This window comes from Homo sapiens, chromosome 11 (assembly GCF_000001405.40).
Source record: "Homo sapiens chromosome 11, GRCh38.p14 Primary Assembly".
NCBI classification, from domain to species: domain Eukaryota; kingdom Metazoa; phylum Chordata; class Mammalia; order Primates; family Hominidae; genus Homo; species Homo sapiens.
In genome coordinates this window covers 49,801,803-49,817,024 of record NC_000011.10, presented here as the reverse complement: position 1 = coordinate 49,817,024, position 15,222 = coordinate 49,801,803, and the positions used below count along the sequence as shown (strand labels likewise).

The window sequence follows — 15,222 nt, the reverse complement described above, 5'->3', positions numbered from 1 at the left end:
TGTTAGGAGTTACATCCTTTTAGTATATTAGGAATAATACCACAAAGGTGTTCACACATAGTTAACAGCATATGTAATATTTGGATTAACATCCCTCGAGAATATCACAAGGAACATCACAGGGGCTGTGCACACATGATGTACATGCCCTTAGACATTACGAGTACCTTTCCCTGACACATTTCCAGTAATATCACAGCGTTTACACCTTCTGCGACATTTGGAGTAACGTCCCCTAGGATAGTACGAATAATATCACAGGGTGTACATCCCCTGTGACCTGAGGAGTAATATCTTTCTAGAATACTACGAATAGTATCACAATGTGTACACCCCGTGTGTCATTAAAAGTAAAATTCCCCTAGGATATTATGACAAATAACACAGGGAGTACACCCCGTGTGACATTAGAAGTAACATCCCCCGAGGATATAACGTATAATATCAGAGAATGTACATGCATTGGGACAGCAGTAGTAATATCTCTTTCGGATAATACGAATAATATCAAAGGGCGTACATGCATTGTGAAATTACTAGTGAACTCCCCCTAGGATATTACGAATTTTGTGACAGGGTGTATATGCCCTGTGACATTCACAGTAACGTTTTCCTAGAATATTATGAAGAATATTAAAGGGTGTACAGGACCTGTGATTTACGAGTAAGATTTCCATAGAATATTACACTGTGTGTACACCCCGTGTGACATTAGGGGTAACATCCCACAAAACTATAACGAATAATTTCACAAGGTATACACCCTCTGCAACATTAAAAGTAACATTTCCCTAGAATATTAAGATAATATCACAGAGTGTACACCCCCTGTGATATAGGGAGTAACATCTTATAAGGTTAATACAAGTAATTTGATAAGGTGGACAAACCCTGTGACACAAGGAGTAACATCCCTCTAGGACATTACAAATAATATCAAAGGGAACACACCGCGTGGGACAATAAAGGTAACCTCCCCTTAGGATATTACGAATAATACCACAAGGTGTACACACACTGTGACATTATTATTAGTGTCCCACTAGGGTATTGTGAATAATATCACAGTGTGTACAGTCCTGTGACATCAGGATGAACATTCCCCTACAATATTATGAATAATATAGCAGGGTATACACCCCCTGTGATTTTGGTAGTGACATCCTCCTAGAATATGGAAAATACTGTCCCAGGGTGTTAACAAAGAGTGGCAGTAGAGGTAAAATCCTAGTAGTGGAGTAATATCACCCCGCCTATCCCCCCAGGATATTACGATCCACGGTGGACACACAGCGTGTTTACGTTATTGTGAGTAATATCTTCTCCGCCTCTGGAGATTACCAACTATGTCATAGACGGGTGTACATCCTCTGCACTATTTGCGGTAATGGCATCCACTTGCCCCTGGATATTAACAACAATATCACAGGAGTGTTTCTACCCCCAGCGGCATTTGGTGTAGTATCATCCTCTCCCACGCTGAAATTAGGAACAATATCACTGGGGGCGTGTACACACCCTGTGATATTGAAAGTAATATCATCCTCTTTTCTCCTGGATCATGGGACCAATATCAATGGGAAGCGTACGCTTTCTGCAATATTGGGAGTAATGTCATCCTCTCCCTCTTTGAATATTTAGGGCAATGTCACAGGGTGGGTGTACACTCTCTGCGATACTGGCAATATTATCCTCTCCCCAACCTGCATATTAGGAAAAATATCACAGAGTGGGTGTGCACCTTCTGCGATATGAGTAGTAATATCATCTTCTCCCCTTCTGGATATTAGGAACAATATCACTCGGGAGTGTACACTTTCTTCAAGATTGAGAGTAATATCATCCTCTCCGCCTTTGAATATTAAGAGAAATGTCACAGGGGGGATGTACAGCCCCTGAGATTTTGGGAGTAATATCGGGCTCTTTCCCTCCATGGATATTAGGAACAATATCTCAGGGTGGGTTTACATCTCCTGCTCTATGGGGAGTCGTATCCTCTCTTTTCCTGGATATTAGGGACAATATCACAGGGTGGGTGTACACAGCCTGCGATATTGCTGTAATATCATCCTCTCGCCCTCCGGATATTAGGAACAATATCACAGAAGAGGCGTACACTCCCTATGATATTGGGAGTAGTATCATTTTCTCCTTCCATGAATATTAGGAGCAATATCCCTGGGTGGATGTACACCCACCGTTACATTGGGAGTAATGTCATACTCTACCCCCTGGATATTAGGAGCAATATCACAGGGTGGGTGTACACCCATAGCGATATTGGGAGTTATTAATATCATGCTCTCCCCCTCTGGATATTAGGAACAATATCACAAGGGGGGTGTACACCCCGGCACTATTGCGAGTAATACCATTCTCTCTTATTCTGGATAGTAGGAATAATATCACAGGCGGGGTGTACACCCTCTGTGATATTGGGAGTAATATCATCCTCTCCCAACGTGGATATTAGGAACAATATCACAAGGGGGGCTGTACACGTCTTTGATATTGGTAGTAATATCATCCTCTCCCCCTTGCACATAAGAAACAGTGTGACAGGCGGGGTGGACACCCCCTGCGATATGGGGAGTAATATCACCCTCCTCTCCATCCCTGGATATCATGACCCACGGTGGACACACAGCGTGTTTACGATATTGTGAGTAATATCATCCCCCCCTCTAGAAATTATGAACAATATCACAGATTGGTGTAAACCCTCTGCAATATAGGGAGTGATAACATCCTCTCCACCCCGGAATATTAGGAACAATATCAAAGAAGTGTTTATACCCCCTGTGATATTGGGAGTAATACCATCCTCTCCCACGTTGAAATTCAAAACAGTGTCACTGGGGGCGTGTCCACCCCATGCGATACTGAAAGTAATACCATCCTCTTCTCTCCTGGATCATGGGAACAATATCACTGGGGTGGTGTACACTTTCTGCGATATTGGCAGTAATATCCTCTTCGCCTTGGAATATTAAGGACAATATCACAGGGGGGCTGTACACATCCTGCGCTATTAACAATAATATTATCCTCTCATGCCCTGCATATTAGGAAAAATATCACAGAGTGGGTGTACACCTCCTGCGATATGGGGAGTAATATCTTCTCTTCTTCTGGAAGTAGGAAGAATATCACACGCGTTTGTACACTTTCTGTGATATTGGGAGTAATATCAACTTCTCCGCCTTTGAATATTAAAAACAGTATCACAGAATGGATGTACACCCCCTGCGATATTGGGAGTAATATCAGCCTCTACCCTCCATGGATATTAGGAATAATATCCCAGAATGTGTGTTCAGCTGCTGCTGTATGGGGAATCATAGCATCCTCTCCCTTCCTGGATATTATTAGCAACAATATCACAGGGTGGGTGTGCATAGCCTGCGACATTGGGAGTAATATCACCCTCTCCCCCTCCGGATATTAGGAACAATATCACAGAACGGGTGTACACTCCCTGCGATACTGGGAGTAATATCATTCTCTTCTTCCGTGAATATTAGGAGCAATATCACCGGGTGGATGTACACCCACTGCTATATTGGGAGTAGCGTCATACTCCACCCCCCTGGATATTTGGATCAATATCACAGGGTGGGTGTACACCTACTGCAATATGGAAAGTAATACCATGCTCTCTCCCTCCCTGGATATTAGGAACAAAATCATAGGTGGATGTACATGCACTGCGGTATTAGGAGTAATATTATTATTAATTATTACTTATTTATTATTAACATTAATATTAATTACCAATATCAATATTGAGAAATAATTGCTAATAAAAAGTTTTCATATTATTAACATTAATATTAATTATTGGTACCTAATATTATTGTTTTCTAATTTATAAGATCAGTATCAATTGTTAATATCAGTCATTATTAATAATTAATATTAATAATTTAATGTCATTAATATAACTATTCAATAATAATTATCATTATTATCATTATTGATTTTAAATCACTCATTTAACAAAAACTCAGGCTACATACAACTACACAAAGGGCCTAACATTGTAAGCCCTTCGGGACTGCTTCAACCTTTCACTGACACAATAACACTTTTCAGCAAAGAACCCCTATGGCCCTCAACATCTACTATTAACCTTTATATTATTGCTCCAACCCTGGCCCTTTCTTTCGCTCTCCTATTGTGAACCCCCATCCCTATACCAGATCCTCTAATTAATTTTGATATAGGCCTCCTATTTTTACTAACCGTATCAAGCCTAGCCATCTATTCTATGATCAGGAAGAGCAATTAAATTCAAATTATGCACTATTTGGCGCATTACAAACTGTAGCCCAAACAATTTCATATGAAGTAACCCTAGCCGTTATCCTGCTATCAATTCTACTGATAAGTGGCTCGTTTAACTTATATGCACTCATCACAATGCAAGAAATCCTCTGACTGCTCCTATCATCATGGCCCCTAGACATGATATGACTTGTCTTCACACTAGCAGAAACTAATCGAGTCCCTATATTATATATATATATAATTTTTATATATATAATATATATTATATAAAATACAAATATATAAATATTTGCATATTATATATTTTATATATAATATAAATATATAAATATTTACCTATAATAAAAAATACATAATATATATAATATATATGATGATATATAATTTTTATACCCTCTGTAGAGGGAATTATTTTTGTTTCTATATCCATCCATAATAAAATACTGTGACTGTCCATAATAAAAATACTAGTGAAAAATAGGAATTATAGTCATGTAAGAGATAAAAGAAAATCTGTTAGTATCAATATATTAACACATATAGATGGTGTTGGTTTTTACAGGGTTTAGTAAAATGCATTCTAATTTTCTAAACAATTTCCACATTATAGTACATTTATTTTTCCCTCTTTCATGATTGGAAAGAGTGCAACAATATACATCCCTATACAATCATCCTTGATTACATCTAAGGGAGCTTTGGCAGTAGTAACATTACAGGGTTAATATATTCATATAGGTATTACAGGGTAACCAAACAACATTCCGAATTCTTTCATCAGCAAAGCCCAGTGTAATCCTAATCCAGGTAGCCACTCTAATTAATGCAATTAACTCAGATACATAAATATATACATATAAATATATATGTCTGCATGTGTGGATGCACTTAAATGGTTGCAAATACCATCGACTTTTCCTCTCAAACAGTATTTTTGTTGAGAATGAGGTATATTCAGTAGTTCATCAAAAATCTTTTTTAAATTCTTAGATGATTACATTTGTTACAATGACCAGCTGGATTAGAATTAGATTAGGTTTAAAATGATGAAAGAATCTGGGAGAGGGGGCAGAGTGTTGGTTGTTAATTAACACATGGATCAAAGGAGAGCACTGATGTGTTTAGAAGCCACAACATTGACAGGATAAAAGCCAGAACTAACAATCCAGTTGTAAATCTCTTTACTGTGGTATTTTTTTGCCATTTCTGCTCCATAAGACACACTTTAACCACTTTGTCATGGTATCTGCAGTATTCTATTTTAGTCTAAATAGCATTTTCTCTCAAATGCATTCTGTTTCTCTCTCCTTCAGCTTCCCTCCCTTCTTCCTTCCAGCTGTATTTTCTCACTAGAGAACACTAGTAGAATGTTCTCCCAAATTTCAGATTTCAGATACGCATCTGTAAAATAATCTTATGGAGACACATTTTAGTTGCTACTGAATACTTGGTTGTTTTCATAAGTTCACAGCATTACTACTGTCCTCCAAAAAATGGTTTCCCATTTCCACAGCTAATCTCATCATTGACTCTGTCATCCAAGTTTATTCTAGGCCACTCTGGAATAATCTGGAAAAATACTTAAAATACATTTTAAGTATTCATCATGCACATGAATTGTATTTTATTTTATATATGTTCGGGTGAATATCTTTCTCCACTAATGGTTTGCATTTCAATTCTTGTATCATGTTTTTTGAAACACAGAAGTCATCATTAATATAAACCAACTAATTTTTTTAATTGTTAATTTTTGTCCTGGTTAAGAAATCCTTATGAGAATATTGTGTCATGTTTCCCTTACCTTCAGGACTTGAATCTATTTGGAAGTGACTGTGTGTGTTTTGAGGTAGGAGTCAATATTTAGTTACTTTTTTAAAAAAAATTCAATAAATCCAGCATTGTTCTGATCACCTTGTGTATTTCAATGTAGAAGAGCACACTAATAATGCGGGATTATTTATATATGTGGTGAGAATTCCAAAATGAAGCCCAGCATGGAAGGTCAATTGATATAACTCAAAGGATAGATTAGTACAATGAAACATGATGGATAAGTGCAATACAGTTATATAAAGAGAAAGAAAAACAACATTTCCCAGTTATCATTAAGACTTCACTCCAAGTTTTTGCATGAAGCAAAATATCCTGACTCTCTTCCACTGATTTTAACTCCATTCAGACATGTCTGTCATCTATTATTTCACTCAGTGGTAGTGAGAAATAAAGAAAAAAAAAACAGAGAATATATTTCATGCCATGATCATGAATAATGAGTTTTCAAAAATTAATTAATAAAGAACCAATACATATACTTTTAGTGTTTTTACCACATTTAATAGTAACACAATAAATGAGTTTTAATAACATTAGAATGCAATTCAAGACATAAAACAGAACCTATTTGTCCTGTTTGATAAGGCACAAGGAAGAGGGCTTTATGGGATAAAGGGGTTCCCACAGCAGATAAACACATTTCTGATTTGTCTCTGGTCAGAGATGAATACAGCAAAAGATAGGCCTGAGAGGAGGTGAGAAGGAGCAATTAGGGATGGTGTATATAGGGGAGCTTTGATTAACATCAACGAAGCTCACAGTTCTAGCTTCACAATCCAGGAATAATCCTACATGGTTGGTAGGTCTTGGGACATACTGCAGTGTAACTGGGGAGGTGGTAAAGAGACTGCACTGAATGTCGTTCTTAACAATCCCAAGACTAAAGAGTCCCTCCTCTCCATATATATTGCCATTCTGATTCTTCCCTTTCCAGTACTTATTACAAACACCGAAAGCCCAATTCCAAGAGTCCCCCACATGGACCTCCCAGTAATACTTGCCAGAGGTGAAAGTCTGAGCACCCCATGCAAGAAAACTTGTAGGTGTTGCAGTGATATGGGGCGCATTTTGACGGTCACATCCAATACAAATGCTTCTCAAATCTCCACATCAGAAGATATGACTGTTGGCTTCATTATAATGCAGAGTAATATCCACTGCAAAATAAATAAATAAATAAATAAATAAATAAATAAATAAGAAAGAAAGAAAGAAAACATGCATAGGCATGTGTAAATAAGCAAAAATTGTTCTATCAAGAAGTTAATTTACCAGGAAATGTAAAGTCACAAGGACACTTGCTTGTAACTTCTAATAAAGTATAGAGATGATTAATATTATCTACAAGACAAAAAAAACGCTAACCACAGATATTAAAATTGTTTTGAAAACTTACATATTGAGAGCCAAATGTAAGACCAACTTCTTTCAATCCAATTTTCAAAGCAAAATTTGCTCATTATATGCCCTAAATGCTATGCTGTTATCAAGATCATTATTTAGAAATGTTTCTTATTCTTAAAAACTAGTGCTATCATTTTGGAAAGAATGTGAAGATTTTCAGTTACTCAAGAACTGCTCTAGATAACTGGATAAAAATCCATAAGTACACGTCATAAGTGATCATTTAAAGCAGATTTCTGCAAAATCTTTTACCAGTCTCTCTGTGGCCCTCCATGTTAGCTTGGGGCTGAAGCTGGATTTTAGACTTAACATGTAGCTTTTCATATTGCAATTAAACTGAACTTCTTTTTGTTTGTAATTTTACTTGCATTCACAAAATGATTTCTTTTTATGTTTACCCATTAACTAATTTTTTTGCAATACATGATACATATCCATTTAAAAAATTAAAAACCCCCAGCAATCCCCAGTAAACCATACTCCCCAAAAGAACAGTTCTTAGCTGTTCAAATGAATACACTAAGGAAATGTAAAATTTTGTATTTAACATTAAATAACTCACCTTCATTCTGAGCATTGTTCCATTTGCTCCTTTTTTAAATTTGCTACACTACTCCTTTTTCCCATTACATTACTCAGTATATATGAGGACAAAATGTATTTGTTTTTCACTATCTTTCAAACTTATTGCTATAAATCTGACTACACAGACACAGATACAAAAGGGTTGCATGATTATGTTGTTCACTTATGTCTATAAAGAAGTAAAATATTTGATAAAGGATGAAATATTACCTATGTGGTCCTAACAATAATAATATTTAGATAGTGGGAGTGCTGCCTATGGGTGGAGACTTACCTCAGAATTAGATGAGCCTGTCCCTCAGTCCAGTGATGGGCCCTGCACTGAGCTCTAGATTCAGAGGCTGGGGCATGTGCAGCAGCACGGACTCACTTCTGGAAGGAAAAACCTGCAGTTACAACATCTACAGCCATAAAATAAATAAAAATCACTATTTCTATTTAAAAGACAGTTCATGAGAATCCTGTGAATCCACAAATTTGATTATTCAAAAATTATTCCTTCCTTTTTGGAATTAATTTTTATTTACAGTTTCCAAATTTTAAAGCATAGTGGGAGAGCCTGAGTCAGAATTCAGTCTGATCTTTCTTTTTTTCTGCCCCACATGTGTAAGGTTCCTTAGCCTTATGGCCTTGAGAATATTTGGAAATGAAATTCTGAGTTCCACTTCTTGGCAGACTCCCCTGACCTCTTTGTCTGAAATAGCGGGGTTTTGGGGAGACTGCTGCATCTGCTGCTTCCTTTTCAAGATAAAGAATGTGAAATTTGTTCTAGACAGCTAGACGTGCCTTTTAGAAACAAGCTTCCCTAGAGACTTATACAGTCCTAACACTCCACAGTTTTTTCAACCTATTTTTCAGGACTATTAACTGATATGTATGTAGGTATGAACAACAAATCATCAACTTTTTCACTGCTAAAATACTTCCCCCACTTCTCTCCTGCTTCCTCTGGTGACTTTCTAACCATCCACAAAACAAAACTTTATCTTTCACCCATGCAGGCTTTTAAGCAATAAAACAAACTCAGGAATAAACATTTTTTTATTTCACTATTTATTTATTTATTTTTTTATTTAGTGTTCTTGTCTTTTCTGGTGTGAGAGTGAAAGCAGATGCAAAAACAAAAAGGTAGTATCAATATCTGAATCATTTATGCCATGACTTTGGTAGAGCCTGCTTTGATATTCATGGAAACTGAAGGAATATATGCTAAAATCTACATAAACACTCACCTGTGTAATATGTCTCCAAAACCCTGTAAAAAAAAATAGAAATACGTAGGACATTTCACAAGATGCATCTTTCACTAAGTTTAGTGTGAAATTTGGAGTCAGGCACAGAAAGACAAATATTACATGTTCTGACTCATATATGTGGGACCAAAAAAAAGGTTTTCTCATGGAAGTAGATACCAGAGGCTGAAGAGGGTGTGTACATGGGTAGTGTGTAAATAAGAGAGGTTGGTTAATGGGTAAAAACATACAATTAGATAGAAGAAAAACATTCTAATGTTTGTTAGCTGAGTAGACTATCATTAACAAAAATATATTGTTTGTTCTAAAATGTCTATAAGAGAGAACTTGAAATGTTCCCAACACATAGAAATGATAAATATGTGAGGTGATGGATACTGTAAATACCCTAACCCTAACATGATCATTACTCATTCTATGACTGTAAAAAAAAATCATGTGTACCCTATAAATATGTAAAAATATGTATCCATGACAAAAGCAATTTAAAAAATTACTTTTTGTAAAAAAATTGCCAAATATTATTTTTTTAAAGTAAAATTAAGTAAGAAAACAGATTTTGGCGTGTAGAAAAAGGTAACTTGAGAGAATCTCTATAAATCATCTTGAAGCATAAAGACTTGTATTCATGACTTGATAAGCTATTAGAAAACAATAAAGCTTTAAAATATTCTGAACTAATGACTGAATGATATCTAATATTCACTTTATTAGCTGGCAAGTCTAATAATATGAAGTCAGAGTACTGAAGAAACTACATCTGTTTTCCCTGCCTTTGAAAGGAAATAAAACCTATGAAGGCTTCCTTTAAAACAGCACAGACGTGTCCAAGAATGTATCTGGTCTTCCTTGTCTCACCACTTTATTAATAATTTGACTTTTCCTATTGCAAGTGATTGATTAATTGAATGCACATTTAAGCCTCATAGAAAGTGCTCATTTCTTCAGACGTGCTTTGCAAAGGCCAGAAATTCACCATTCAGTAAGAAAAGCTTTGAAATAGACCTGTCATAAACTCATGGGGAGCGTGTCCTAAGGAGACACCTCTGTTCTCCACCAGGAGACTTTTAGCTGGCTTACTTGCAGAGAAACATACATTTAGTCTACTTTTTCACTTTTAGGGTTTGAGAATCCTGCCTTTTACTTAGGCTGACTGAGTTAAGGAGAATCATTTTTCTGCCTCTCTATTACTGCCAATTTCTTTCCCCCTGCAGTTTCAGCCACTCTAAAATATCTATAATGTATTAGGTATGAAAGATATGAAGATTTATAAACCTTTACCCACACTTTCAAGGAGCTTATATTCTAGTGTAAGAGGAAAAAGAAGAAAACAGAAAAATAAAAATGAAAACTTCCAGGGATTTTTTAAGGGATCTGTGGAAGTCTTACTGGAGTTCAGGATATCTTCCAAACTGCCTGGAAATGTCTTACATGATAAACCAGATACATAAACCTGAGTATATAGGTAAAAGACAGGGAAGTAATTCCAGGGAGAAAACAGTGTAGGTTACACTGTAAGCTAGATATGGTCAGCGAATTGTAAGCATTTTGAGATATAGGTGAAGATACAGCAGTGGGAAGGTGCAGAAGTGTGTCAATTCTGATATTCGGCTGGTATGCATCAGCATAAATTAACCCATTGGTTATGACTTGCATCTGTTTTGATTGGATCCACATCTTACTAGTTGTTACATATTTTAAATCTCACCTCTGAGTAACATAGGAAGTGATTGGCAGATTTTAGGCCATGTAGTGTATGCCAAATTATGGAGTGGAATATGATGGCAAAGGGGAGTCAGCTAAGATCATTTTGCAGAAGGATGAAACAATTACATTTGTTTTACAGAAAACAACTCTGAGGAAACTGGGGACGATGGGATGAGGAAAAAAGAAAAGAAGCATTTTTAATCCATGTTATTGATACAATTTAGCAAATGAGAGGTGTAAAAATAACTGTATTAAAAAGACTAATATCTATACCCAAAGAGTACACTTCTTATTAAACTTAGCACATTCTTTTATTTTAGGTAAAATTAAATCACTTAGTGTTGAATGAGGAGGTAATTCAAATGCATTGCCTGTTGCAATTGCTTTGAACATTATGTTCCAGGATGTTGAAGTCAAAAAAAGCTCCTTTGTTCTGGGTCTTCTCTCCACTGAGAATCATGGCATTCAAGCCTGTACCCTCAACTCCAACCAACACTCCTAAGACTCTCAGATCTCATAACCCATCAGAAGCCCTTAAACCTCAATAAGGATTGAAAAAAAAAGTGGAGTTTATGTGCAAACCATGACTACTTTTGAGTAATATTGAAAACTTAATACTGCTATGTAAGTAGGCATATTCATCTTCACAGATGAAAAAACTCTGGATCAGGTAGCAAACCTCTCCTGTAAAGGGTCAGATAGTAAATATTTAAGGCTCTATGGGACATATGATTTCTATTAAAACTGTTCACTTCTGCAGTTATAGCCCCAAAGCAGCCATAGACATTATGTCAATGAATGCGACTATGTTCCAAAGAAACTATTGTACAAAAATAGAATTCGGCTGATGAGCCTCAGTTAATCAGTCACTGTTTTTAGTATGATTTATCACAATGCCTGCCAACTAATAGAAATATACATATGTATATATGTGTGTATATAAATCTGTGTGTGTGTGTATATATATATGTATGATAGTTCACATCTTCTGTTAATTCCACAAAATCATGTCAATCTTCTAGAAACAGGCCAGGCGCAGTGGCTCATGCCTGTAATCTCTGCACTTTGGGAAGCTGAGATCACTGGAAGTCAGGAGTTTGAGACCAACGTGGCCAAGATGGCAAAACCTCATCTCTAATAAAAAATATACAAAAATTAGCTGGGCATGGTGGTGCATGCCTGTAATCACAGCTACTTGGGAGGCTAAGGTTGGAGAATCGCTTGAACCCAGGAGACAGAGACTGCAGTGACTTGACATACCGCCACTGCACTCCAGCTTGGGTGATAGAGTGAGTAAGATTCTGTCTCAAAACAAAAAACAAAAACCAAAAAACAAAAACAAACAAAAAAAAACCAAATCTAGAAAACAATAAAGAGCAAATGTTTTTGACTGGAATTCAGCACAGAATAATATTCAGTTTGCTTTTGTTTCTCTGTAGATGTTTACACACACTTATAAAGCAACTTCAAACTTTTCTGTTTACTAAAAACTAAAGTTTCATCAAAAAGTTTAGTTTCCTGGGAAAATGGAAGTGCAGTTTGAATAGTCCATCTAATTATTAAATTTTCTTGATTACAGAAAGTGTAATTGCTCCTGGTTTGTTAATCTTATTTTTTTTAAAAAAGAAACATTTTCAGAATCACCTTTAATTCTACATTTTCCTTTGTTCAAATTATCTATCTTGAAAATAGAGAAAAACATATTCTCTTATACTGTAAGGACAAAATTTATTACTGAAATTGAGGATTATCAAAGATCCAGAGATGGTTTTCCAGAATGGTTTAGGATACAGGTTACCTTCCAATATCCTCACTGCCATTTACTGCCTGTGGGACCTTGAGCAAATTAGTTGTCTCTCTGTGTCTCAGTTTCTTCAGCTATAAAATGAAGTTAGTAATAATAGCTTACAAATAGAATTGCTATAAAAAGTCAATAAATTAATACATGAAGATCAACCACTTAGAACAGTGCTTGCTAAATAAAGATCACTCTATAAAAAGTGATTATTATCAAAATGTTTTAAATATTTATCTAAACAAATGTTCGCAGTGCAATCAATCTCAAAGCTACCAGCGCACTTTGAGATGCAGATTACTTTAAAGGACAAGCTCTAGTATTAGAAGAGGGCTTCAAAGTCCTGGGTTGGTTTCATCCTGGACATAGGAATACTTCATCCAATAACATCAAAAGCCCCTGTTCATTTTCAGTTGTCAGACCTACAGCACCTCCCACGGCAACTGGTATTATTTACATTTCAGCTTATATCTAGCAAGCAGAGTTGCATTTAAAGACATAAGTAACGTCGGCCGGGCGCGGTGGCTCACGCCTGTAATCCCAGCACTTTGGGAGGCAGAGACGGGCGGATCACGAGGTCAGCAGATCGAGACCATCCTGGTTAACACGGTGAAACCCCGTTTCTACTAAAAATACACAAAAAAATAGCCAGGCGTGGTGGCAGGCGCCTGTAGTCCCAGCTACTTGGGAGGCTGAGGCAGGAGAATGTCATGAACCCAGGAGGCGGAGCTTGCAGTGAGCCGAGATCGCGCCACTTCACTCCAGCCTGGGTGACAGAGTGAGACTCCATCTCAAAAAAAAAAAAAAAAAAGACATAAGTAATGTCTCTGAGTTTCAGATTCTTCATCTATAAAGTTAGGTTAATATTACTCACTTCAGAAGGGACTTGTGAGAAATAAAAGAAATATCTCATTCTTTACATTTTAATAGGGGTGTTTGAGGGGAACTTTTATGCTCCAGGAGAGGAAAGCATGGAAGGAAAACACACAGCTTTATTCCACCATCTTCCTACTATCCTTTCTGGGGATAGTGACTCACCTGTCTGGTGAAACTGGAGAAGGGGTTAAGTGTGTATGACTCCATCTCTTCTTTTCATGGAGCAGTCTGTTCTCTGAACCTAAGAGTTTTTCTGTTGTCCTTCCAAAAGCTATCTATTAAAGCAAGCAAGTCCTGTGATTGTTCAGCCCTGTCTGTGACTGTGGGGATGGAGAAGAATATTTGGTCACAGATCAAAGATTTGGTTTTATTTAGCTAATGTATACTAACTCCATGACTTCTTGCTGGTATTTAATTTGAGAAAAGGGCTATTGTTTAATGAACCTTTAAATCCCTAACAGTGAGAAATTAATATAATACTTTATGTGACTCTACAGTTACAAATGTTAAATTTGGTGTTACTTTAAAAATATCTTGCATTATAGTTTAACGAAATCTTTCTCTCCTCATTGTTTATTACAGATGGAGTAATATCTTTCAAAAATAATAAATGAAACCACTTATTAGCAGTAGAGGTTTCCTGGTTTCCAATCTCCACTGACTGTTTCTCAACCCACTGCCACACCCCTTATGCTACACACACACACACACACACACACACACACACACACACAAACTTCCTTCTCCGAATTGCCTCTAAATTTAGGAAGAAAGGCCATCAAGTGATTTTTCTATTTCTAAACTTTTAAGCTATATCTGCCCCAACACATTTTTAAATTTCTGTTCTAGTTCTGTAGTACATCTTCTCAGTTGGTTTCCTCCACCTGGACTTTAAATGCCACCCCTTCCCACATTTTTATGCATTTCATACTATTCATAACCCTCTTTTCATTAATTAAATCACCTATCCTACCTAGATACCAAAATTAACCAATTAAATAAACAACTGACCTTTGCATGCAAGATACAGATACTATATATCATAAAATTTTAAAAATCTAAAAATTATAAAGCTTGGCATTATCTGAAGGTCATAAAGCCCAAATTAAATGACAAGAGTAAAAATATTTTCAACATATTCCAATGAGCTACCGTCCTTAATTTATAGTTTTTAGAAATCAATAAGGAAAAATAAATAAAAAAATGGTTTTAGTATATGGATAGGTAGCTTTTAGGAAATATTGACATAATATTTACTATCTTACTCATAATTTTAAAACTACAAATTAAAATATTATGATGCCATTTTGATTCATAATATTATCAAAGTGCAAATGATTTAATAATACCATGAGTCGACAGAGAAATACAAGTGCTTTTCACTATATATTTTGTTCACCACTTAAATTATTTTTCATGATTATAAATTACATCTTTAGAGAGAAATAAAATGTTAATGTTAAAAAATCTCTCTTT

The 15,222-nt window shown here is 36.0% G+C and overlaps 1 pseudogene across 1 annotated transcript in view; it reads right to left on the bottom strand.

The window, feature by feature from the left end:
• Positions 1 to 6,605: 6,605 nt before the first annotated feature.
• Positions 6,606 to 15,222, bottom strand: part of GRM5P1 (GRM5 pseudogene 1) — a 251,892-nt pseudogene continuing 243,275 nt past the window's right edge. Inside the window, exons 5-7 of the transcript NR_027044.1 lie at positions 9,348 to 9,370; positions 8,390 to 8,487; positions 6,606 to 7,283 (exon numbers count right to left, since the gene is read on the bottom strand). The product of NR_027044.1 is annotated as a GRM5 pseudogene 1 (transcript). The remainder of the gene's footprint in view (positions 7,284 to 8,389; positions 8,488 to 9,347; positions 9,371 to 15,222) is intronic.